General features: G+C 40.0%; 1 protein-coding gene across 14 annotated transcripts in view, besides 1 other annotated feature; it reads right to left on the bottom strand.

Moving 5' to 3' along the window:
- The window catches only part of PIP5K1B (phosphatidylinositol-4-phosphate 5-kinase type 1 beta), a 303,937-nt gene that overhangs the window by 119,041 nt on the left and 157,136 nt on the right, over positions 1-27,760 (bottom strand). For all 14 annotated transcript variants that reach the window (XM_017015189.2, XM_047423951.1, NM_003558.4 and 11 more), the window contains 3 exons: positions 26,169-26,299; positions 13,342-13,459; positions 1,003-1,155 (listed from right to left, as the gene is read on the bottom strand). In XM_017015189.2, coding sequence (XP_016870678.1) covers positions 1,003-1,155; positions 13,342-13,459; positions 26,169-26,299 — 402 coding nt within the window. The remainder of the gene's footprint in view (positions 1-1,002; positions 1,156-13,341; positions 13,460-26,168; positions 26,300-27,760) is intronic.
- Positions 17,410-17,994: an enhancer, noted in NCBI's record as "OCT4-NANOG-H3K27ac hESC enhancer chr9:71487058-71487642 (GRCh37/hg19 assembly coordinates)". NCBI's record gives its function as "activates a minimal SCP1, AML or CMV promoter by ChIP-STARR-seq in naive and primed H9 embryonic stem cells {active_cell/tissue: H9 hESC(naive and primed)}" and the evidence as "EXISTENCE:reporter gene assay evidence [ECO:0000049][PMID:30033119]".

Raw genomic sequence — 27,760 nt, 5'->3', positions numbered from 1 at the left:
TGTTCCGGTGTATTAGTGTAGGGGTTAAAAATGCATTCTCTGGAGCCCTTTTGCTTGCGTAGCCCCAGCTCTGCAGCTCTCCAGCTGAATCACCCATGGCAAGTTACTTAATTTATCTTTGCCTCAATTACCTCTTCTATAAAAAGGTGATAATTGTAGTATCCAAGGTTGCTGTGAGGATTAAATGAGTTAATGAATGCAAAGCACTTAAGGCCTTGCTTAACATGTAGTAAGCAATCCATGAAAGTTAACCATTTATACTATTACTGCGTACTGGCTGCAAAGAGCTTTGAAACACATTGCTTCCTTTATCTTTCCTTTATTTTATATCCTGTATCCTTACTTTATCACAACAACTATGTAAGATAAGTATTTCCCAGCTTTTTTTTTTTTTTTTTTTTGAGAAGGAGTCTCGCTCTGTCGCCCAGGCTGGAGTGCAGTGGCGGGATCTCGATTCACTGCAAGCTCCGCCTCCCGGGTTCATGCCATTCTCCTGCCTCAGCCTCCTGAGTAGCTAGGACTACAGGCGCCCACCACCACGCCTGGCTAATTTTTTTGTATTTTTAGTAGAGACGGGGTTTCACTGTGTTAGCCAGGATGGTCTTAATCTCCTGACCTTGTGATCTGCCTGCCTCGGCCTCCCAAAGTGCTGGGATTACAGGCGTGAGCCACCACGCCTGGCCACGTATTTCTCAGCCTTTAAAGACTGAGGGAACTAAGGCTGACCAGTTATGCTGCTTACTCAGGGTCACACAGTTAATTATTGGCTGAGCTGGGATTTGAACTCAGGATTGTGGGATTCAACAAGTATGCTCTGCCATTCAGTTCTAGTTTACTTTAAAAAATCTATTCAATGAATGTCATAGCATAATTTAAATGCAGAATAAAGCTTACCAAAGAGAAAGAAACATGCCTGAGTCACTGAAAAAAACAACAGAAAAAAACTGTTGAGGAAAGTAATTAAACTTCAAGTAGAAGCATTAATGATGTGCAGTTCCTTACCATGTAATAGCCTGGCAGTAGCTTCTGAAGAAACTCAGCTTCTTTGTGCTGAACTGTTTTGATGATAAATTCATCATCACTGGTCACAAAAAACAAGGATCCACTGGCTCCAGGGTTAGACAGTTCTATTAGAGGTTCACTGCAGATGGAATACTAAAAGGGTAAATGAATAAACATTAAAACATATACTTGATGTACGTGATGCCTCCAAGGAGGACAATCATAGCATTGCACATCTTAGCTATGTTGAAACAAGAAGCCTCTCTACGGGCTTTAAAAGAGGCTCCACGTATACCGAGAAGGCTCTTTTTGAGATTTCTAAAGATTTAATTGGTCTGTTTATCTTAATAATTCTATGATGAAAAACAGACATACACTCCTAACCCCCAGAGTCATGCGATAGAATCATGAATCATCCTATCAGTCCAATGAGATAATTCAAACAGTTGTGTTGACTAAGGTGCTTTGTTTCCAGCAAATGTCCATAAAATAACAAGTGAAGATGTGAACTGCACTGTGTTTTATCACTTGAACACCAACCCTATTCTCTTTTCATGATTTTCCCAGAAGATGTCATCTACTCATGGTTTCAACAAGGAGATGACTTCAACATCTGTATCTCTAGCCCAGATCTTTCGCTAGGGCTCAAGACCTGTTCATCTAACACTTTAATAGACATTTCTATTTTGGTTATACCACACACAATTTATATGCAATAAGTTCACAATCAAGTTCATCTCAAGGCTGTGGTTAGCCCACATGGTGCCTTTGTGGTAATTAGAAAGATGCAACTTTTTATCTTGGTAGATGCAGCTCTGGGCTAGGATACAAAGTTGGTGAGTAGAAGAAAGGCTGGGGCCAGGCGTGGTGGCTCACGCCTGTAATTCCAGCACTTTGGGAGGCTGAGGCGGGTGGATGACGAGGTCAGGAGATCGAGACCATCCTGGCTAACATGGTGAAATCCTGTCTCTACAAAAAATACAAAAAATTGGCCGGGCGTGGTGGCACGTGCCTGTAGTCCCGGCTACTCGGGAGGCTGAGGCAGAAGAATTGCTTGAACCTGGGAGGTGGAGGTTGCAGTGAGTCAAGATCACACCATTGCACTCCAGCCTGGGCGACAGAGCGAGACTCTGCTCAAAAAAAAAAAAAAAAAAGGCTGGATTCCAGTCTCCACTCCTTCCCCTCGGCCAGGTAGGAGAGCTTGAGCAGTGCACAGCCTGCACAACTGCATATGGTGACCCTAGATCATCTGCCCCCTGTTCTCTGCCTTTTCCCTTAGAGAATGGAAGCATTATTTGCCTTATTCCCCAAACCAGAAACTAGGGCATCATCCTTGATTCCTCACATTTCCTCATCTTTCCTAACCAGACTGTTGATGCTGCCTGCCCGCCTCTGCCAACACCCTTAGTTCAAAGGTTTCATCATTTCATGCCTGGATTGTTATGGCAAGCTTCTGGTCTTAATTGTCCACTCTCATCCCCTCTAGTACATTCACCAGGAAACTAGGCATCTTTCTAAAATGCAAATCTCTTCATGTTTTTCTGGGCTTTCACATCTTTTGCAGAAAGACAAACATTGCATGTTCTCACTTATTTGTGAGATCTAAAAATCAATGGTTCTTAACAGAGCTTCCAAGGCCATGAATGACCCAGCCTCCTCCCCAGCCTTCTCTCTCATGACTTCCTCCTTCAACTTTAGCTCTAGCCACAGAGACTAACTTCTCATGTTCTTAAAAGTGCTGCATACTCTCAACAGCCAGGCTTTTGTGTTTTCCTGTGCCTGCGACAACCTCCCTTCTACTTTCACCTGCCTACCACTCATTGCTGTATTTAAAAAATAACTATTGAGCATCTGCTATGTCCCAGGCACTCATAAAGTTTATATCCCAGTAGGAGGAAACAGACAGTAAACAAGTAAATACATTACACATCAGAAAGTGGTAAGTGCAGTGGAGAAAAAAATGGATCATGGAAAAAGCAGCAGAGAATACCAGCAAAGAGTGAGGAATGAGTTGCAGTAAATTCTAAATAGGGTGGTCACTGAAGGCCTCCTTGCAAAGGTGACATTGGAGCAGAGGTTGAGACCAGGCAGCAAGCCACATGGCTATCTGGGGAACGGGCACTTCAGGCAGAGGGAAGAGAAAATGCAAAGGCCTGAGATGTGGTGGGCTCAAGGCACAGCAGAGGCCAGTGGCTGTAGCAGAGAGGGCAAGGAGGAGCCCTGAAAGGGATGGAGCCAGAGAGGTCAAGGGGACAGACCACATCCAGTGCTATAGGCCACTGGAAGGACTTTGTTGTTTTCTCTAAGGGGGCCGAAAAGCCATTGGAGGGTCTGGAGCAGAGGACCACTCTGTTGGGTTAGGAAACCACCGTAGAAGGACAAGGGGAAGATGTAGGGAGCATAATTCATAGACTGTTGCCACAGCTTCAGCTTTCAGTGCCTGCTGAGGCAGCACTTGCTCTGGAAAACTCTTCCTGGTTCCGCGGATAAAAGATCAATTGCTTCCTGGCCCTGGATGTTCTCATCACAGAAGTCACCACAAAATCCTGCAATTGCCTGTTTCCTTTTCCTCGAGTTGCAGAGACTGTAAAACTCGGTGCAGCAGAAACTGTGACTATCTTACACTGTGATACAGTTCCAGGACCTGTGCCTTGGAACATGGTAGGTGCCTACATACATGGTTGGTACTCAAGAAATTTCCGTCAGATGGCTGAACTCCACCAATAATTGTATGGCTGTAAATGTCACCAAAAAATGCTAAAACCAGCAAAGAAGTCTGTTTTTGGTTTTATTAAGCTCAGTGTTTATTAATTAATAAGCTACATAATTGACTAGAGAAACACTGGGTGGCAGAGAAAAAGATAAGGAGGCCATGCAGGTGTGAGACAGACCCAGCCTAGCAGAAGCAGGGGCTTAAAGAACCACATCATCTTTAAATTTTTCTTTTTTTTTTTTCAGACGGAGTCTCGCTCTGACACCCAGGCTGGAGTGCAGTGGTACAATCTCGGCTCACTGCAAGCTCCGCCTCCCGGGTTCACACCCTTCTCCTGCCTCAGCCTCCCGAGTAGCTGGGATACAGGCGCCCACTACATGCCCAGCTAATTTTTTGTATTTTTAGTAGAGATGGGGTTTCACCGCATTAGCTAGGATGGTCTCGATCTCCTGACCTCATGATCCGCCGGCCTCGCCCTCCCAAAGTGCTGGGATTACAGGCGTGAGCCACCGCACCTGGCCAAATTTTTCTATTTTTAAATTTTCGATCGACAAATAATGATTTGTTTAATTTTAGTTTTTTTATTTCAATAGCTTTAGGGGTACAAGTGGTTTCTGATTACATGGATTAATTGTATAGTGGTGGAGCCTGGGATTTTAATGCACCCATCACCTGAGTAGTGGACATTGTACCCAATAGGCAGTTTGTCATTCCCCATCCCCTGCCCACCCTCCCTCTTCTAAGTCTTCAATGTCCATTATACCACTCTGCATGCCTTTGCATACCCATAGCTTAGCTCCCACTTAGAAGTGAGAACATGCAGTATTTGTTTTTCTATGAGATATAATAATTGTATATATGTATTGGGTATGTGATGTTTTGATCATGAATACATTGTAGAATGGCTAACAAATCAGGATGGCTAACATATCCATCACCATACACACTTCCTTGTGGTGAGAATATTTAAAATCCACTTTTTAAATTAATTTAGAAAGATATACATTAACTGTGTTCACCTCGCTGTACAATGGATCACCAGAGCTGATTTGTTCCATCCAGCAGACTTCATATCCATTCGCCAACATTTTCCCTATTCTCTATCCACCCACTACCACCTCAGCCTCTAGTAATCATCATTCTCCTCTACTTCAATGAGTTCGATTTTTCTAGATTCCACAAGTAAGTGAGATCATGTGATATTTATCTTTCTGTGCCTGGCTCCTTTCAGTTAGCACATTGTTCTCTATGATCATCCATGCTGTTCTAAATGACAGAATTTTGTTGTTTTTAAAGGCTGAACAGTATTCCATTGTGTATATACATCACATTAAAAAAATCCATTTGTCCTTTGATGGGCATTTATGTTGCTTCCATCTTTCCCATTTTGAATAATGCTGCAGTGGACATGGGAGTGCAGACATCTCTTCGCCATACTGATTTCCGTTGCTTTGGATAGATACCCAGTGGTGGGGTTGTTGGATCATATGGTAGCTCTATTTTTAGCTATTTGAGGAACCTCCCTACTGTTTTCCAAAATGGTTGTATGAATTTACATTCCCACCAACAGTATACAAGAGTTCCCTTTGCTCCACATCCTCACCAAACACTTGTTATCTTTTATCTTTTTTGATAACAGCCATTCTAACAGGTATGAGGTGATATTTCATTGTGGTTTTCTCTCATGATTAAGAATGTTGACCATTTTTTAATGTATCTACTGGCCATCTGTATGTCTTTTTTTTTTTTTTTTTTAAAGACAAGGTCCTGCTCTGCCACCCAGGCTAAAGTGCAGTGGGCTGATCACAGCTTATTGTAGCCTCGACCTCCCCAGGCTCTGGTGATCCTCTCACCTCAGCCTCCTGAGTAGCTGGGACCACAGGAACGTGCCACCATGCCCGAATAATTTTTTTGTGTTTTTGTAGAGATGGGTTTTTGCCATGTTGCCCAGCCTAGTCTCAAACTTCTGGGCTAAGCAATCCACCTGCTACAGCCTTCCAAAGTGCTGGGACTACAGGGGTGAGCCACCATGCTTGGCCTGTGTATCTTTTTTTTTTTTTTTTTGAGGAATGTATAGTTAGGTCCTTTGCTCATTTTTAAATAGGGTTATTAGTTTTCTTGTTATTGAGTAGTTTGAGTTCCTTATTTATTTTGGATATCAACCCTTTACCTGATGCGTTATTTGCAAATATTTTTACCCAATCTGTAGATTGTCTCTTCACTCTGTTGTTTCCTTTGTAGTGCAGAAGCTTTTTAGTTTGATGCAACCCTTTTGATCTATTTTTACTTTTTTGCCTGTGCTTTTGGGGTTGCATTCAGGAAATCACTGCCTAAATCAATACTGCGCAATTTTCCCCTATGTGTTCTTCTAGTAGTTTTACAGTTTCTGGCCTTCCATTTAAGACTTTAATCCATTTTGAGATGATTCTTGTTTATGATGTGAGGTAAGGGTCCAATTTCATTCTTCTGAATATGGATGGCCAGTTTTCCCAACATCATTTCTTAAAGAGACTATCCTTTCCCCATTGTGTGTGGTTGCCACTTCTGTCAAAAGTCTATTGACTATAGGGTGTGTGTGTGTGTGTGTGTGTGTGTTTATTTCTGGGCTCTCTATCCTATTTGGTCAATGTGTCTGTTTTTATACTAGTACCATGCTGTTTTGATACTACAGCTCTGTAATATAAACAGCCATATCTTGAGGATGTAGGCATCTGAAAAAACATCAAGGCTAAAAATCCCACAATTTTTGTTCTGAGCTTGTGAATATTTAAGTCCCTATCATAGAAAAACCTGAAAGGAGGGAGACTGAAAGAAAAAGGGAGAGGAGGGAGAGAGAAACTAGCAGAAACATGATTAAAAGGTAGCTTCTAGATACATCTTTTACATTATTTTGCTTTGAAAATACTGAGGATAAAGGAAACAAAATTATCCCAGAAAAGAAAGAAGCAAGTGTCTGCTGGCTTCCTAAGTCATTGGCAACTTTGATCGTCCACTTCCCCTTCTTTCTGTTAGCCTTGCTTCTTGACAATCTCTTGCTAAACAGCATTAGAGCCTAAGCCTACAGATGAGTTGAGGATAAGTTAGGAAAACAAAAATAGCTATCAGACTGCAGACAGGACACCATAAAAACCGAGAGGAATCAGAGAGCACTTGCCCAGCCATGTGTGCAGACAAAGTGTCCTTGTGGAAGAGCGATTTGTGAAAAGGGCGTGAGATTTGTATCAGTTGCTAGTTATGTGATTCTGAGTAAGGAATTTAGCATCTTGGAGTTTTAGAAGTTTCATTTCTAAAATAAAGGTAATAATATCTACTGGAAAGTCACTGGAAGTTTTTAAAGTGAATGCTTTTGAAAACCCTGGCAAAGAGTGACCATGTATTGCTGTTGTTAATTTTATGACATGATCACACACAGGTGAGAGAAGCACACGGCCTACAATATACTCATTCCACAGGCAGGTAAGGAAGAGCTGATACCACCCTAGGATACACTGAGGTTCTCAGCCTACTGCCCATGACTTCAGGGTGATCCAAAGAGACACTAAAACATTCTGAGTGAAGCAAGAAAATGTTGGGTTTCTCATTTACTCACGAATTTGGGACCCTGGAATATAAAGGTGTGGACTCCAAGCTCTCATAAAAAGTAAAGGCAGACCCTAGACTCTCTTTAGGAATTTGGATTCTTTGTTCCATGGCATTTGAATTCCTGACACAGAACTTCCTTATGGGTAGGAGTTTATGTTGTGAAAATATGAAAACAACAAAGGATGCAGAAATTAGAGGTTGCAAATTGAGAAATTAGGGGGTGATCCGGAAAGAGGTGTCTAGAAAAAACTGGATTCAGACCTGAACATCTGCTCCCAATTAAAGTCTCCAATTCTTCTATAAGCAGTGACATTAAAAAAAAATGCAGTGACATAATATGAAGACTATTTCATTGGTTACTACATTGTCAAATATTCTTTTATTATGTCATTTATACATAACACGAATGAAATAATAAATTGTTTTGATCCACTTTAATAACCCTTTGGGGGCTATTCATAGACTAGCATCAATGTGCAATAAACTGTGATTATGATACTGAACAGGAGTATCACCATTATGCTGTAGAATTCTATGGTTTCTCACTCTACAACTTGGTTACCACATTCTCTTCTAAGCCACCTTCTTTGCAACATTGCCTCTTAAGAGCAAATGAAGAGGAGAGATGGGAACATTTTAATTAGTCATGATCAAAAGCCCCCATGTGTGCTCCTGGGTTTTATGCACCTTCCAGGCACTTGTCATCTGTGCAAGCTGTTCTAATGTATTCATGCTCTTGCTTCTATTTCCTGCAGGGTCTCCCTGCTATATTCACTGGAGAAAAAGAAAAAGCAGAGCACAACCCAGCTGGGCCCTGCCAGTGTAAATTAACAATGTAAACTTGCCCCATGTGGTGGAGATAATTTTATGTGCCATTTCTTCCCCCGATAGTATGAAATATTCACTCTGCTCTCTTTCTTATTGGCGCAGGTGAGCCTGAAAAGACTCATATAAGTTCTACTGGATTTTTGAATATCCAGGCACATGATGGAGAAGGAAAGAACCCATAGCTGGTTGCCCAAGCAGAGATGGGAATGCTCTGGGGCCCTTTGGCTTTGCCTTGGGAGGTGTTTGTCTAGGAATAAGGAAGAAGGAAAGTTTGCACTGCTGTATGTACAGAAGCCCCTTCACCATACTGTCTCACAATCCAAATTATGCATGTTTCAACATGAAACTTGTAATCAGCATGCACAGGGTGAATTTTAATGGGATGGAGGGCATAAACAGAGTAATTCAGGCAGGAATCCAGATGCAACAGCAAAAAGCTAAGTAGAAATACACACATATCGCAGGTATTCAATATCACACCTAAGTATGGAGTTACCAATGGCTAGAGATTGTTCCCACACCTCCAACTTAACTCACTGTATCTTACAAGTGTGGGTTTGAGTAGCCCCAGTTTGACAGCCACCACGATGCACTTTGTGATTGGCACTGTATCCTTTGTTTCTTCACAGGGTTTTTCAAGCAATGTCTTATTTCCTATTTCTGTGCTTTCCTTTAGCTAAACTCTTCCACAATGTGTTTTGTTAAAGGTGTTTGACTTCTTTCAGCTGTATTCTTCAGAATGGACAATCACAGGTCAATGGGCTAGGAAGAGGCTAGTTTGAGTACATATTTGGTAAGAGGTCTGTGATTCTCATCAAATATGGAAAGCATGAGGCCAGCTGGTGAAGGGTCTTCAAGCTCTTGGGGAAGGATGGGGAGACCACTGTTTGGTCTAGGCTCTGCCCCCACCAATGTGTGTAACCTTGGGCATCTCCCTTTGCTGATCCCAGCTTCAGATTCCTCATCTGTAAAATGAAGGATTGAGCTAAAAAGTCGCTGAAGGTTATTATACCTGACACTCAAGCATGCTGTGTCATGCAAACGACCCTTTCCTCATCTATCACACTCCAGATCATTAGGTGCAGTCCCAGATAGAGCGGTTTGGAGGTGAGCTTCCAGAGACTCCAAAGTTTGTTGGGGAGCTGCCTCAGTCCTGTGCTGCAGGTGTCCCCAGTGCAGGCACAGGTGGGTGGCAGCAGCTGTTGGGGACCAGGTAGTTATGTTTAGCTAAGGCCACTGCCTTTGTTCTGTTTCTTGCAAGCCCCAGAGATGTGTCTAGACACTGAACCATGTGTGTGGTGAATGAGGGAGGTGGACAAATGGAATCAAACAAAAGCACACTTACATACCTGGCTCTATCTTTCCCTCTATTTTGTGTGTGTGTGTGTGTATGCGTGTGTGTGTGTGTGTGTGTGTGTATGCGTGTGTGTGTGTGTGTGTGTGTGTGTGTGTGTTTCAGATGCAGTCTTGCTCTGCCGCCCAGGCTGGAGTGCAGTGGTACAATCTTAACTCACTGCAACCTTTGCCTCCGGGGTACAAGTGATTCTCCTGCCTCAGCCTACCAAGTAGCTGGGACTACAGGCTCATGCCACCGTGCCCAGCTAACGTTTTTGTATTTTTGGTAGAGACGGGATTTTGCCATGTTGGCCAGGCTGGTCTTGAACTCCTGACCTCAGGTGATCCACCCACCTTGGCCTCCCTAAGTGCTGGGATTACAGGCGTGAGCCACCACAGTTGGCCTCTCTCTACCTTTTAAGTTATATTTACGTACATAAAAGCGAAAAGAATTGTGAAATTAACACTCATGTATCTATCTTCCAGCGTCAACTCATGGACAACTCATTCATGATCAATCAATGATCAACTCATGGCCAATCTTGTTTCTTCTAGACCTCCAACCACTCTGCTGCCCTACTTCCCTCAGATTTTTCTTTTTGTAGGGGGGCATTCAATTTAACAGTTATAGTGAGATGTAAGTCAGATAGCATTCAATTCACCCGTTTAGAGTACACAATCCTTCCGATTAATTTTTGAATTGATAAATAAAATTGTATACTTTTATGGTATACAACATGATGTTTTGATACATGTATACATTGTGGAATGGCTCAATTAAGCTAATTAACATATTATTTACCTCACATATTCATCACTTTATTTGTGGTGGGAACTTTTTCTTTTTTAAAAAAATGATATATAATAGTTATACATATTTTAGAGGTACATGTGATATTTTGATACCTATACACAATGTGTAATGATCAAATAAGAGTAATTGGGATATCCATCACCTCAAGCATTTATCTTTAAAATCTACTCTCTTAGCAATTTTCAAGTATATATTATTATTACCTATAGTCACCATGTAGAATAGATCTCCTGTATTTATTCCTCCTCTCTAATTCAAATTTTGTTTTTTATTTATTTTTATTTTTATTTTTTTGAGATGGAGTCTTGCTCTGTCACCCAGGCTGGAGTACAGAGGTCCGAACTTGGCTCACTGCAACCTCTGCCTTCCAGGTTCAAGTGATTCTCCTGCCTCAGCCTCCCGAGTAGCTGGGATTACAGGCATGTGCCACCACGCCCATCTAATTTTTGTATTTTTAGTAGAGACGGGGTTTCACCATGTTGGCTAGGCTGGTCTCAAACTCCTGACCTCAAGTGATCTTCCCACCTCGGCCTCCTGAGGTGCTGGGATTACAGGCATGAGCCACCGTGCCTGGCTGTCTAATTCACATTTTGTATGCTTTGACCAACTCCTCAGATACTATTGAAGTACATCCCAGATATCAAACCATTTCATCCATAGATATTTCAGTATATCTTCTAAAAGACAAGGATTCTCCTTTTAAAATAGAACCATGATATTATTATCCCACAAAAAAGTTATTTCTCAACACCATCAAATATCTTGTCAATCTTTATATTTCCTTAGTTTCCTATAATTTAGAAGCTTGTTTATTTGAGTTGCCTGGACCTATCTCTTAATAATGTTAATAATGTTCCTGATAAAAACTCTCCCCTCCAGCCATATTGGTCCACTAAATGTCCTTTCGAAAACTGAACACATCCACATCTCTGATTCTACAGTGCCCCTTCCAACCCTTCACCCCCTGAGCATCCATCTCTTTTCTACCTTTTAAAATCCCTCGTAGTTTTTAAGGCATGGTTAAAACCACATCATGCTCATAAGAAGACCTCCTAATCATCACCCCAACAAAGAGAAAGACCCCTACCTCAACCCTAGAGTATTTCATGTTTTGCTTCAGTTTTTACATTTATTGCCTGGTAGAGTTGATTGGTTTTCTACATAGACAAATTAGTATTCCAGTTTGATTTTAAGTTCTTTGTGTGTCATGACTTGCAGTTTTTTGAATTTCCCTACAACTATGAGCAAAGCATTTTAGATATAATTGGTGTTCAAAGTGTCCACTGATTGATTAATTTACCTTTTGCTAGGTACAGGGACAAAGACTTTTCTTGTGAGAAGTGATGAGCTTAGATTCTTATGCTCCTTTGTAAATACTCTAACCACATTATGAAAATAATTTTTCCAGCTTAAAGACTCATTAGGAAACTTGGGGAGGCTGTGTGGGAAGTTGTTCAGAAAAGGATCTTCCCCAAAGAAAGCAAATTTGTGAGGTCCAGATGAATGAAAGAATGGACTTCCAGCCTTTGGGGCAATGGATATGGGAGGGCTAAAGACAGGCATCCATCTGGTCATATTGACTGGATCAACAGTGTGAAACGCAAGTCTAAGGCATCTCTTCAGCTGGTGAGAAGTTCAAGGAAATTCAGAAAGAGAATCCATTAAATTTGAGTGTGTGGCAGAAGATAAGAGATCTTGTTTTCCATAATATAATATCAAAACCCCATTGGGTTTCTCAAATATATTTCCTGAATGATGGCAACCCTCAGTAATTACAGAATGGCTAGAAACCAAAGGGTGTTCTCTAACACACACACACACACACACACACACACACACACACACACAGAACAAATGCGTGTGCTTGTGTACTTGCATTGGTAGTGATGGGTAGAGGCACCTGAGGCTTCAATGAAAGGGGAGTGGTGAGAGAAAGAGAGTAATATATACATTTAAGGGCAGCAGTATGCTAGGGACTTTCAACCTTGCGCTCACCATTCTTTGGAGACTTATTGATGTGCCTTGAGGAAGCAGTATTGCTTCATTAGGCAGAAGTCATATGATTTTCTTAGGGACCAAATAAAGAAGATCATTCACAGATTTTCTTTTTTCCTTTACAAGAAGATTCAGAGGAGACATCCGAGAGTCTTCATCAGCACAGAGTAGAATCAGCTTTTAATTATTTACATCTTATCCAAATTATAAGATGCATATTAAGCACTCTTTGTTACACGTGTTGCTATACTTCCTCTGAAAAGCATTATCCCAGGATCTGGCTCAAGTCTTATTAAGATCATTCAGAATGGGATGAACAATAAATATTTGATGGCATTCTTCCTACAGTCTTTTGAAACCAATTCTGAGGAGCCCCCAGGGTGTTAACAGTGATCAAATTATGAAACAAACCATTTTTTCACTTGTAACAGAAAGTTCCTGGCTTCTTGAACAGGAATGAGGTAAAACTCTGAGGTCACATCAGACTACCTCTTACAAAAAGGCTGTTGTGTCTGTACCTCTTGTGTGCCAGAAGGCAGATGAAGAGCACAGACAAATCTGAGGATAAAATATGCCCTTGTACCAACTAAAAATATGTTTAAAAAGTCTGCCTGAAGAGATCTTGAGAACAAAACTATCCAGATTCTTTACAATGTTTACTCAAATTTGTAGGTCAAGGTGAAATGATTGTGGGCCAAGGTAGTTGAGAGGAATGGTACAAATAAGGCAATTAACATAGAAAGGCTTTCAAATAGAATCTAATCAGCAAAATTCACAGGAGTATTTAGAACTAATTATAACATATCTGTTAGAATAATTATCTGAAGTCACAACTGATATTATAGTTATTTAAATATCAATTACCACCACAGATTTTGCAGTTATCAGTAAAAGCTACAAAGTCACATCAAATTTCTTGAAGCTAAATTTATAATCATTATAAAACTTGGAACTTTTACTACGCCCCAGAGCTTTATAAAATGAGAGACACAAGCCACTTGTTGCTGTTGCTATGAGACAAATGTTTACATCACACATTTCTATAGAAGGAAGAAAAATGACAGGTTCTTACCAAGTAATCATCAGGCTTGATACCAAAAAGTTCTCTGAAATATCGGAATGCTAATGGAGCGTATGTCTTAAATCTAAAGTCTGGGTAGTGATGTGCTGGGGTCAGATTGCTCCCTTCGCTGAAGTCAAAATATTAAAAAGAGAGAGAAAGAAAGAACACATTAGCAAGGACAATTTTGACCGCAAATTGTAGCTCTATTAGTCCTGGGCCAATGTTATCTCTAGAAAAATCATCCCCTGAGAGCGGGTTTCTCAAAGTTCATGTCATAAAGGCCAATGATAACCAGGCAGAATAAGACGTTAGTTAGTGAGGTCACTCCGTGCAGGCTTTCCCTGTCAATCAGTGTCACATGCCTGAAAATTCATTTATCCCCTTGTGCCTTCTTCCTGGGAAGATCACTCCATTATCACCAGTGTAACCACATTGTAATGCTTTGGGTAAAAGATCTAGGCCTTAGAGTGTGGAGCAATTTCAAAAATGCATTTTTTTAACCACGAATTTTGGATATTTGACAAACATTGTTAACCAGGGATAAGTGAAATAATTCTTAAAACATCCTACCAACAGAGAGAACCATCACATGGAATAGGACCCCAATCTGAACTCTTTTATTTACATTTTCCAAAAAAGGAGACCTTACATATTTAAAAAATTTAAAACCTGATTTCCATTCCTCAATATATCATTATCTTCTTTTCCTTTTTCTGGGTTCATTTTGAAAAATTATACACAATATTTATGATATATAAAATGTACAAAGAATAAACCAGTGAATATCAATGAATCCAAAATGCTGCTTAAGACATAAAACATTATCCATACAGTTGAAGCCCCTTCTGTACTTTTTACTGCTCAGATCCATAGAGGGATCCACTGGCCTAAATGTTGATGTTTATCAATCTCATCCTTTTTATTCTTTGACTCCATACAATATTACCTAATACATGAGCTCAGTCAAACCACCTAAGCCACTCATTCTTAAATTTTTCAGTGTTTTTGTTCTTAAAATTTTCAGAAAAATTAGAACAATGCAATAGAATTTTATGTAAAGGTTCAAAATCCCTTTGATCTACATTCTAGGTGGGACATTGAGAGCCTATGCAAGTTTATCATGGTCTGCTTTTTATGGATACCACACAAAAAGGACTGGGCAAATGACAAAGGCTTTCAGCACAGAATAAACACTTTGGATCTACTATAGTTTAAGTTGTTCAGATCAATCAGATTCTTGCATCAATGCCTGGCACATAGCAGACACTCAATAAGTATTTGTTGAGTGAAGGAATGAGTCTTCAACATAATGTTAACAGAGAAGATTTGATTATTACATGGAATTTACATTAGAAAATCAATATGTAAGGCAGAAATTCAGCATAGTCACAGGTCACCCTTGAAAACTATTTAGGAAGTATCTATTCAATATAACCAACGCAACTAGTTTTTCCTCCTGCACGATTACAGATGACTGTTTTTTTTTTTTTTTTTTTTTTTTTTTTTTTGCTGAGTACCAGAGGATGGAGCTGGCTTGTGTTGTTAGGGGTCAGCACCATATAATAAATGGTTATCTTGAAAGGCTAGGATTACACTCAGGCAGCAGCCCGGCTACACACTAGGAGAGTGACACAGGGACTAAGACTGCCTGAGAGAAGAGCAGTCACATAGTAAGGAATGACCCCCAAATCATCCACTCATTCAAATGGTTATTGTTGAATATTCAGTATGCATGATGCCCCAGTGCTGTACCCAAACATTTTCTCTTTCTATATTTTGGGATTTAGGAGGGGATTAAATCCCATGGGACTGTCAAAAGGAATGATTCTGGAACTTATATGGCATGTAATAATTTATTAATATAAATGTAGATCATATAGAAATAAAGGGTAAAAGCAAAGAGGCTCAAAGAGACCTATAACATCCTTCCTCACTTTTGCAAGCGAGTAAAAATAACCACAAGGCCTTAGGTTCTGAAGCAGGCTGCTTTCAGTGGGCTAAGAGTGTTGCCAATTTCTTCTCTCTTTTTCACCTTCTATCCCATACAAAGTAACTCATTCTACTGGAGCAGATTTCCTTCAACATTCAAAGAGGTAAGATAAAACACCCATGTTCCACCTAAATGGAGTTTCTCATTTTGTTGCAGTTTTGGGCCCAAGATTTTATCAGAGAGGATGCTGCATTTACTATTATTATTTTCATTTTGGGTTAGTTCTGAGCTCCTTGGATTATTCATCTTTCCCTGAAGTTTCCATTAATTATAATAATTTTCCTTGGGTTCACATCTCTCTGACTGCTGTGATTTATTCAGTTATGGTATAAAACGATAGTGTTAGGTTTCCCTGGAGGTGAGACAGACACACAGACACACGTACACCCATACACACAAGAATGCTCATGTACACACAGCAGAGCAGCTTCAGGTAGAGAAGGGGAACATTTATTTCCTTAGGCATACAGAAATAATAACAGGTATTTGGTCATTCAAAAAAACCACTAAATCATTCCATGAAAAAGAATTAAATCTAGCTATCTTTGGGCCATATTAAGACATGGAGAAGTATGGGCCAACTGTGAGGCAGGCTTACCTACATGGGATAATCAAGAAATTATATTTGTATAAACAGAGAAAATGAAAAGGAGTGGGCATAATACTTAATGGAGGCATCATACAGAATGGATGTTGCTTCATGGCGTAATTAACATACAGGAAATAACAATTAATTGCTGAGGTTACACACTCTTGAACCTCTGTATTTGCGTGAATGGAAAGGAAAATTCTCAAATAGTGCCTTCTGTAAATTAGGTTCATAGTACATCAAAACTTCTTGTTTGTTTTCTCTCCTAGTAGGTTTTATTTTATGGCTTCTGTTTTCCTTTGGTTAATATTAAGACTGGGCTGTACTCTCTTAAGTCCTACTGGATACACTGTGTGGTAGTTAAGATGATGGATTTTATAGTCCAGGGAGACCTGGGTTCAAATTATCTCTGTTATTTAAAAGCTGAGTTTCACGAGGCCCAGTACAGAACCTCTACAAATTAAGTGGCTTAGTAAATGAAAAGGTGAAAGGTAAAGTACTTTGAATGCAGGGAGCCCCTAACACATTTGGATGATTGAGACTATATAGGAAACAGCCCTGAGCCAAACACTTCACATGAGGAATGTATTGAAAAAGTAGTTAAAAAAAAATAAGAAAAATAAATGCCAAAATGGGAAAATATTTACAACTCATATCACAGACAATGGGCTAATCTCCTAATATAAAGAGCTCCAATGAACTGCATAGAAGTCCAAAAAGTCCAGCCTGGGTAACATGGTGAAACCCTGTCTCTATGAAAAATACAAAAATTTGCTGGGCATGGTGGTGCACATCTGTAGTCCCGGCTGTTTGGTGGGCTGAGGCAGAAGGATCGCTTGAGCCCAGGAAGTTGAAGCTGCAGTGAGCCGAGGTCGCGCCACTGCACTCCAGCCTGGGCAACAGAGCAAGACCCTGTCTCAGACAAAAAAAAAAAAAAAAAAAAGATCAGAAAGTTAACTTAAAAAAATAGCTGACGATATGATCAGGCACTTCACAGAAATGAAAAGATATGACTCAAACATAAGATGCTTAACCTCATTCATAAAATAAATGTCACCGAGAGACCATTTTACCTGGAAGATTGGTGAAAATCCACGACTGTGATGTAGCTTGAGGGGCAATGCTATTCTGAAATATTGTTAGTGGGAATGTAAATTGAGACTTTTTTTCCCCATGAAGGACATTTTCACAACTTCTATCAAAATTACAAACATGTAACTCCTCGATCCAGCAAATGCATGCCTATGTTATCCTATGGATAAACTAGCATTTGTCCAAAACAATATATGTGAACATGGTTACTCATTATGGTAACCTGGATGGCCTTCAGGAGAGAACTTGTCTAATTAATTATGATTCAGCTACACAATGGAATTCTATGTGGTATTAAGAAAAGAATAAGGGTGCTTATTATGTACTGACATGGCAAGATCTCTAAGATAAATTGTTAAGTGGATGAAACATGATGCAGAATGCTGTGTAGGGGATGTCACCACTTGCATAAAAAAGAAAACAAATATTCTTTTGGCATGCATATACATAAAAAATCCTTGAAGGAAAAAACAGCCACAAGTAACAGTGATAACTGGAGCTGGACACTGAAAAAAAGGCACAGGGACAAAAGGAACTCTTCACAGTATTCCTTTTAAGAACAGGACAAGCCTTGCTGTGTATTATCATTCACAAAATTAAATAAATTTAAAAAGTTAGAGGTTAAAAGCCATAAACTGATTCCTCTTCCCCCAAACTGAGCCCTCCGTGCTCAGCACCACAGCAGAAGGTTTGTTTACCTCTGCATATTTAAGCTGTTCCAATGAATAACAAATACCAGCTTGACATGAATGAAGCTCTAGTGAAGGAAATGCAAATTAATGAGATCGCTGGCCCCTGCTGGGCCCGGATATTTGTCAGGGGAGCACGAGTGCAGAGAACAAAACAGCAAGTCCAGTGAAGGTCAGCCAGCAGGCAACAACCTTGGTTCTCTGAGGCCCCACGCTGGCACATTTACTGTGTGTAGATGTGGGTGCCAGCCCACAGGCGTTCAGCACAGAATCTCCACAGCACAGGTACCAAGTGCTTAGCAACTTCCACCATGGCAGAACTGCCAACATTCAAACACAATGACCGCAATCAACGTTTGCCTCCTGAAGTCCACAGGCTTTCCTTGCTTGAGACTGGAGTTACCTGTTGAGTAACTGTGCTCAGCATCCAGACTTAGCAAAAATGAAGTCAGAAAAAGAGTAGAACTCCTCACAGTTTAAGATTTACCTTATATTTCTTCAATGCACTTATGTAGGGTGTGGAAAAAAAAAAAAAACACCCGACAACTGACTTTCTTGTCTTGGCGTAAGTTGAAGCTTTGGAAATCTCAGCTATGGGGTTTTGAGCAGTGGTTCTAGATGCTTGGATCCCATGGGCCAGTAAAATTTCGACAACAAAAGTTTGGAATCCAACCTTGGATTTCCAAATTTATTTTGCCAAGTAAGAACCTAAACAATTAAGCAAGCACACGTTACAATCCCTATCACATCAGGGCATTTTTAGCTCCAAAAAAGGAGAAAGAAATTTCAAATAAAGAACAGAAGTTTCTCTGTCCTCTTCCCCACTTATTCACTAAGAAGCAGTTAAAGTTCAATCACAGACCAGCTCTGGCATTCTGATATTCACCTCTTCTGAGGCAAGTTCATTTTTAAGGCCAAAGCTACTGCTTGTCTTAGTCTAAAAATACATATATCTTAATGGCAACGTATGTTCAGAATTACACAATGTTGAAGCTTGAGGAAGCATTAGCCGCCATCTGGAATTCCCCATTTAGCAGATAAATCATAGTCCAGGGAGGGAAAACAATGGCCCAAACTGATCAGGAACAAACAAGATTGGGAGATTAGACTCACATCAGAACAGCAGAAAAGTCATAAGCAGATAGGAATGGCTTAACTTAGACTTGACGTTCCTCTGTTATTCCTCCTTTTCAGGATTCTGTTACAAGTTTCAGGGGTTTCTCCCTGCCCAAATATCCCAATTACTTCCACATGAGGCCTTCACACCACAGGGGCTGGTGGGTAGAATTTCACTTACAGAAGCTTTGGTCAGTTGGTGTTCTCCTCTCTATGTACTAATAACAACACAGCTTTGTTTATGGGGTTTTAGAGCCTGATGACCAAGTGCTAGTTTTGGTGGCACTGGACTGAGAGATGTGGTGGTAAGCAATGGGGTAAAACTAATTTAGCATCTCAAAGACAACACAAGGGGACCAGTTTTGGAGCTGAGACTCAGAGCTTTCTTGCCTCTAGAGCAGCATTTTCCATTTAGTGAGCTTTGTTTATTTCAAATTGTAACCAAACCATCAATAGTGGCTCTGAGGACTTTTGACAAAACTAGTACTTACGCAACTCCTGGGTGATAGTGGTCAGTGTCGCTAAAGGATGCTAAATGCCCTCACTTGTATTCAACAAACATGACCTTACCCTCTGTATGACAGGATAAATGAAGGGTGCTTTGTCTTGATGTGCAGACATTAGGAAAGCTTAAGTGGCACTACAGTTGGGTGAATGCCACTACAATCCAGTAACAAACTACTGATGGTACCCAGTCTTCAAGTTGGACCTTCGTACACAGCAGTCTGTAAAAGCGGCCTTAAGGTATTATTAATTGCCTCTGCCAATTCAGCCAAGGTGGATATCCCTTGGTTTCCACATACAATTCTTTACGTAACTAGAGAGAGAGAGACAGAAATTGGTCCTCTTTTTTGCCAAATTAGAGAGTGCTCATGAATGGAAAAACAAAACAAAGCAAAACAAAAGACACATTCCTTGCTGGTGCCAACCTCCTGTTGCTGAGCAGTTCTGTGATGGGTACACATGAACTGCATTGTATAAGACGAGGCTGCACCATCTTCAGAGACCAACCAGCTGACAGCCAATCTGTAAAAGTCAGCATCTGAAGACAGCTTAAATTCCCCAACCAAACAGTGCATTCCGGGATGTCATTTACTGGGAACATGTGACATCATCGGTTATATAAACATTAAACCATCCAAGAAGTTATTACCATACTGGAAAACCGTGCTTGAAGATAACTTCAAATAAAGTAGAATATTGTATAATATCCAGTGCATGCAATAAATCCTTTGAGCTAAAGGAAGAGGTATATGGCTTTTAGTAATAGGAAATCAGTTTCTCCCCATCCTCACCAAATACACGCTGAACAAAGACATAAAGAGTTTTGATTTGAAGGAGCATCATATTATGGCTTGCCCAGCAGCAGTCACTTCTCATTTTCTCCCAAGAAGACTAAGCTGGCAGCTTTGTCTTCTACCCACATGTACATAAAAACTGGTGCAGAATGTTTGTATAGATCAGGAGTTGGTAATCTTTTTCTTTTTTATTTATTTTTATTTTTATTAAATATAAAGAGATGAGGTCTCACTATATTGCCCAGGCTGCTTTCAAACTCTTGAGCTCATGTGATCTTCCCACCTCGGCCTCCCAAAGTGCTGGGATTACGGGCGTGAGCCACTGCAGCCAGCCTTGGCAATCTTTTTCTATAAAGGGCCAGATAATATTTCGAGCTCTGTGGGCCATACAGTCTCTGTAGCAATTACTCAACTCTGCAGCCATTGTAGATAGCAGCCGCAGACAATTTGTAAATGAATGGATGTGGCTTTATTCCAATTAAACCTTATTTACAAAAACGGGCAGTTAGCGGGGCCTGTCCCATGGGCTGTTGTATGCTGACCCACATGATATAAGACAGTGGTCCCCAACCTTTTTGGCACCAGGGACCAGTTTTGTGGAAGACAATTTTTCCACAGACAGTGGAAATGGGGGGATGGTTTTGGGATGAAACTGTTCCATCTCAGATCATCGGGCATTACATTCTCATAAGGAGCAAACAACCTAGATCCCTTGTATGCACAGTTCACTACAGGGTTTGTGCTCCTATGAGAATCTAATGCTGCCAGTGATCTGACAGGAGGCGGAGCTCGCCCTTGTAATACTTGCTTGCCCTCTGCTCACCTCCTGCTGTGCTGCTGGTTTCCTAACAAGCCATGGACTGGTACTTGTCCACAGCCCAGGGATTGGGAATCCCTGGTATAAGATGGACTCTTGGATAAGTTTATGTCATTATGCCTAGAAATGCAGGCAGTTGGCTAGTTTGTCAAACCTGTAACATTGAGTGATGATATGAGGCAATATTTTATATGAATCTTTGACATATATGTTTGCTTATCATTTAGGATAATGTTTTACCCTTGCCGTAGTTTCTTGGAATTCTTTTCCAAAAGGTGGGTATTCCCTGGCTGTCCAAATAAATCCTGAAGTGCATGTGGGTCAAACCCAAGGGCAGTCTGTTTTCTGTAATGATCTTTACATCAGGGTAAACTCCTGTTTTACAAGTGAAGAGACTGAAATATAGGGGCTTTAAAAATTCCTCAGCTGTGTAATTATTCTTGAATATGGAAAGATATTTAAACTTTTACCACCAGCTTTTAAACCATTTTTGCCACCTCCAGGTAAGGTAGTGATAGTGTCTCCTGGAGAACAGATTAGGGCTGGCTCTTAGGGGAACAAAGAAGCAGACTGAGGTCTATAATTCTAAGATAAAAGCTGGACACTTGTTCTGATTCAATAAAGCAGAAATACCATTCCCATGCTTTATTGCCACAATGTAGAGAAAAACAAAACTTTGGGGCCAGCTAACCCTGAGTTAAAATCTCGGCTTTACCATTTACTGGCTGGATAGCCTTGGGCTAAGTGACTTAATGTCTTAGGGTCAAATTATTTCATATACCAAATAGTGTTCTTATAAAGATGAAAGATAATAAAAATTAATATATGTTATATAAGTCAATTTACTATATGAATAAAACTATGCTTGATTCACAATTAGTTTTTAAAAATGTTGCCTCCCTTTGCCACCTTAGGTCCTTGTTTACATGGTACAAGCTTTATAAACCATCCTCCTTCTTCTTTATCCTATCAATGCATGAAACCTATCTATAACCTTGAGCTTCTGATCCCAACACAGAATTTGGGGTCAAAATATTAAGATATGATCATGATTTTCTTACTTATCTACTTTGAGATTTTGGAACACATTTTGGAAGATCATGGAGCCAAACAGTTAAAAGAGATTTTTATATCCTCTTTCAAATCTTAAAAAGGCCCAGGGCTTTTTCCATCTCCAAAATGAAATAATTCATAGGACAAATTATGTACTTGATATTTAAAAATAACTTTGAGCAGCTTCAAAATATATAAATAAGAAAAAAACACAATGCATTTGGTTGCTAGGGGAAACGGATTCTGCAACTTCAGAAAGCAGTAAATTAAAACATCTCAAGGTACCTCAAGTAATTAGTTCTATGACCCAGATAGACTCGTTGAGCCATCAGAGACTGCAGAATGTTTTGGATGCTTACAACCAGGGCCTGTCCTGCCCACCTACCCCTTTCTTCATCCCCATATGGGCTTGGAAATACTTAGAGAGAAAGCATTATTTGACTGATTTATTGAAGTTTAATTGACATACAAGAAAGTATACCATTTGTTACTTTTACACATGTGTATATACACCTGTGAAACCATCACCACAATCATGATACTAAATTTATCCATCACTTTATAGGGGTTTTTTGACTGCTACAGCAACTAGGAGATATTACTGGCAGGGCCTGGGGACCAAAGATCTCCTGAAAGGTACTGTCTTGCACAGAGTTGTCTTATCCAACAAAGCCAATAGCACCTCCATTGAGAAACACTGGGCCAAATCCCTTTGCTAAATCCACGAAGACACTGAGTCCAGATGATGAAACTGAGGCAAGACTAACATAAGTTTCTTCTGTTTACTGTAAATCCATCTGGTGTGCCTGTGTTACTTAAACAAACAAGATAGCATCTGCTGAAAGAAATTCTTGGTCTGAATCAAATGTTGAGGCCGGCACCTGCCAGGGTGGCGTGGGAGCCGGAGTCCGAGGGTGTAGAGCCAAACCGGGACAATAATTCTTTTTCATTTAAAAATAACAAGAAAAAAAAAATGCATCAAATGTTAAATATTGTATTGCCATTTTTTTTTGAAGGGAAGATATAGACTTTTATTTTCATGGGGTGTTTTTAGTAAGGTTGCTTGAATGAATAGAAAGCATTTCATGTACACTATAAGTAGTATGGATTGTTACACGAACCTGAAGGGACAGTCCAGTCATCCTACGTGGCAGCAGAGCCATGCTAGGACCCAGGCTATTTTTCACTCTGGTCAATTTGATTTTTTGGTTTTGACCCCAGCAATATTGCCTCACAAATCCATTTTTTTAATTCGAGTACCCACCAAAATCCTACCATCTGCACCTTTTTCCCTGGACTGGACTCTTGCCTGTCTTTCAGAGTAGATTCACACCTTCTGGTCCATGAACCTCCAGCCTTTGTCTTCAGTCACACAGAACATTCCCTCACAAACTCTACTATCTTTCCACTCACCAGCCCCCACCTTCCTCTTCCTACAAATCGTCACTAAAAGGTAAGGCAGACAGCATGTCATTTTTTGGTCTAGTACCTGATTATTTTAGACAGCCCAGAGAAAGGGTTGATTTGTAATTGTAATTGTATGCACAGTTCTCTATCGGACAATTTAAATCTAACTTAATCCAACTAAATGTGCCTACATGCAAACATCAATATCTATTTAGCCTTTCTATTTCATGCATCTATTTTAAATAGTTTTATTCTATTTTATATTTATTATGTAGTATTTTTATTACTCCATTGCATATGTGTGTAGATATATATTATATGAGTGTATATGTATACACACACACACACGTGTATCACTTAATAATTTTTAAAGTTTTTCTTATAGACTTTTACTCATTTTACACAATATTATTATAAAGAAAATGAGGGAGGTAATTTTTTTCTTTTTTTTTTTTTTGAGACAGAGTACCACCCTGTCGCCCAGACTGGAGTGCAGTGGCAGGACCTCAGCCCACTGCAACCTCTGCCTCCCAGGCTCCAGAGATTCTCCTGCCTCAGCCTCCTCCTGAGTTGCTGGGATTACAGGTGTGCACATTTATAGGCTGCAAATACTCTAAATTGCTATATTTTAAATGTGACAATGGATGCCTCTAAATAAGGGAAAGTCAGCTAGCTACTCCTCTGCCAGTGACACACCTGCTGCTGCTACCTTGGATGACAGTGAAGGCCAAAGATGCAAAGTGCTAATAGATGTCATTTTGACATTTAAGATGCTTTTAAAAAATGATTTGAGTTTTATTAGTTGTAAGAGTCGTGTAATAACTCCAAGAACAAAATTTGTTATCTACCAGAAAGATTCTCTCTCTCAAGTGGAAAGTCATGGGCGAGGCCAGTGGTTCTCAAACCTTTCTGTGCTGAGAATCACCCCGACGGCTTGTTAAAACAGATTCCTGGTTCCCACCCACAGAGTTTCTAATTCAGTTGGTCTGGGTGGAGCCCAAGAATCTGCATGTCTAGCAAGTTCCAGGTGTGCCAGTGTTTAGGATTTGGGGACCTCATGCCTGAGCCATGCTTTCCCCAAGTGCCCGTCAATGGTTGGCTGTGTTGATTGGACACTGGAAGTAGAAGAGGTCAGTCAGTGAGGATAGGGGGAGCACATGGAACGTCTTTATACCCCCACCTTCAGCTGTAATGCTCTCAGCACCCTGAGCTCACTGTCTCCACACTCCCACAGAAGTCCTCCATTTCTCCTGTTCTTTGTAGCCAAAGAACAACAAAGTTGAAATGTCTGGGTAGAGACCTTTGGAGACCATGAGAGCTCAAACAAACATCCTGCAAACACACTTACAAGCATTATGAGCCTAAAAAAATCATACCAAAAGATGAAGATAAACTCATGACCCCCTGGCTTTTAAGAGAAAAACATGTAGTTAATATACATTTTTTTTTTTTTGGAATGGTAGGCTGTTAAAAACAAACACAGAGAACATTTCCAACTATAGAAAGAAGAGTAGGATCATAAGCAAGGATTATATCTTGGGCCTTGCGGTTGTCCATTTTCTGCCTGGAATCTGGTTCTCATGGCTGCTAGAGGACCCTAGACAAGCAGACTTCAAAAGGCCAGTAGACCAACTTTATTCTGCAGCTAAGAGCATTTAAAGCAAAACGAGGTAGCTGACTTTTAAAAATTTATGGGCTCTGCTCCTTGGTGACTATGTGGGGGTTACTGCATGTCCACAAACAGGTTTTATTTTTAGGCAGTTGACACCTAGACACAGAGATAAATGTGTAAAGACAATTATTCTAAAGATACATATAGATTTTTAATAAGGTGATGAGGACACTAGTGGTAAACAAAGTGTCACTTTAGCTATGTTTACCCAAGCCTGGTAATAACATGACTTATTTTTAAGAGAAATGTTAAAATCAATTCTCACAGCTCCAAAGACAAGTCCCCAAATTGAATATCTTTATTTTTATTTTCTGGATCATTTGAAAAATCCTGTCACTTGTGGTGATACTTATTTAATGATTACTTCTTCTCTTCCTAAATGAACGTAGTAATAGAATTTTTAATTAATTAGTTTTATTGTGGTAAAATATACTCAACATAAAATTTACTATGTTAGCCACTTTTAAGTGTACAGTTTTGTGGCATTAATACATTCATATTACCATCATCCATTTCCAGATGTATTTGTTTTTAAATAATTGATCCCCTCACCCTAAAATGATGAAAGCTAGAGACAACATATATGGGTAACTTTGGTATTTTTGCAAACAGCAGGATTATCCATGTTTTCTCGAGGAAAGTTAAGTTAAAGTCATCATAAAAGAGAAGAGATAAGACTAAACTCAGATTTGAGGCCCAATTATGGGCCTACCAGCCCATGCTTTTAAATTAGGGGGAGCAAAAACCTAGCACCAGTTGCTGCTTCATGGAAGCCTTCTTTCTATAAACCCTTGGCGGACATTACTCTGTGATTACTGCACTCTTTCCCACTGAACCTCAAAATCTTTCTCCATATGGTCTTCCAGGCATTCATCACAACTAATTAGAATTAGTCCATAGATGAAACCTATTTACCATCTCCACATAAAAATTGTGAGACATCCTGATGAAACAGGAAGTAAACATCATTTGGACTGCCTTTGGCCCTGCCAAAGGCCCAATATTCACATCTGTACATATAAACATGTACATAGTAGAAAAGCCCTTCAATATGGGGTTGTCACAAAGAAGGTTCCTTAGCATGGAAATCATCACAAATAAAAATGTTCTTACCTGGGTAGGAACACACTTTCCACCACATAAAAGTCTTGCATAAGAACATCTCGTTCTGGCTTGGAAGTGAGATTACCCACTGTGTATCCTATTCCCAGCTGAATAGCACCTTTAATAGCAGATGATGCAGTCTGCAAAGAAAACAAGGGTCTCAACATTAGTCTTAACAGTCAGGGCCTTGTTCAATGGTACAGGCAACAAAACATGAGTGAGGTTCAATTCTCTTTCTTGCTCCAAAACAATGACGAGGCTGAGGTTTGGCAAGATGATAAGTTGCTTCTTTTGATGCAGAATCTATTCCAAACATTAAAGCTCTTTCTTTTCAAATGTTTTTTGTGATAATGTTTCTTATAATTTAATTTGGAAATTGCTTACTAGTCCCACCATAGATCCATAATAATTTCTTACATTAATCTGTGCTAAAACATACAGCATGGGGACACCAATATTTCCCATTTACTACTTTTCTAATATCATCCAATAATTAAGCTGATGTAATGTTAACTTGGAGAATAACTACTGTATACGTGTGTGTGTGCGTGTGTGTGTGTATGTGTGTGTGTATGAGTATACACATATATAGTTTTAACCAACATAATAGGAGAAATAACAGAATAACTCAATTTAGGACAATTAGAATGTATTTTTTTACGGTGAAGTGTGTCATACTTTTTATGCCTTGCACTGCCTAATGTAGTGCTACATACATGGTAGGAATTAAATACTTAAATCAGTGGTTCTTCACCAGGAACATCTGATGATATCTGAAGACATTTTTTGGTAATCACAACTGGAGGTGGTGGCATTACGTCTAGTGGGTAGAGGCCAGGGATGCTGCACAGGACAGCTCCCACCACAAAGAATCATCCAGACCAAAATGTCAATAATGCTCAGGTTAAGAAACCCTGACATGAATGGATGTAATAAAGATCATTTACTTTATAGAAAAGATACTTTCTTTCTGATTTAATATTTTTACTTAGCAAATCTAAGACCCATCCCCACCTCCCCACATGCTTTATATCTTTTTATTTCTTCAAGCTTTTAACACCAGAGAACACCTGTCTATTCTGGAAAAAAATGTCTTCTCTTGATTTCTATGATAGAATATGGTCCTGGAGCCACTTCTATATATATATATATATTTATTTATTTATTTATTTTTTATTTTTTTTTGAGACAGCATCTTACTCTGTCGCCCAGGCTGGAGTGCAGTCGTGCAACCTCGGCTCACTGCAATCTCTGCCTCCCGGGTTCAAGCAATTCTCATGCCTCAGCCGCCTGAGTAGCTGGGACTACAGGCATGCACCACCACATCTGGCTAATATTTGTATTTTTAGTAGAGATGGGATTTCGCCATGTTGGCCAGGCTGCTCTCAAACTCTTGGCCTCATGTGATCTGCCCACCTCAGCCCCAAAGTGCTGTGATTACAGGTGTGAGCCACCATGCCCGGCCCACTTCCAGCTTTTCTTATAGTCTCTCCTGTCACTTCTTCTCTGACCTCTCATATTGTATTTGCTATAATTGCAGTGTCCCCTGAATTCGGTCCTTGATCCTCAGGTCTCCTTAATTGCCCTGGTAATCAATCCAT

Source organism: Homo sapiens, chromosome 9, assembly GCF_000001405.40.
Source record: "Homo sapiens chromosome 9, GRCh38.p14 Primary Assembly".
Classification (NCBI taxonomy): domain Eukaryota; kingdom Metazoa; phylum Chordata; class Mammalia; order Primates; family Hominidae; genus Homo; species Homo sapiens.
The sequence above is the reverse complement of the archived record's forward strand: the minus strand, read 5'-3'. Positions and strand labels throughout refer to the sequence as shown.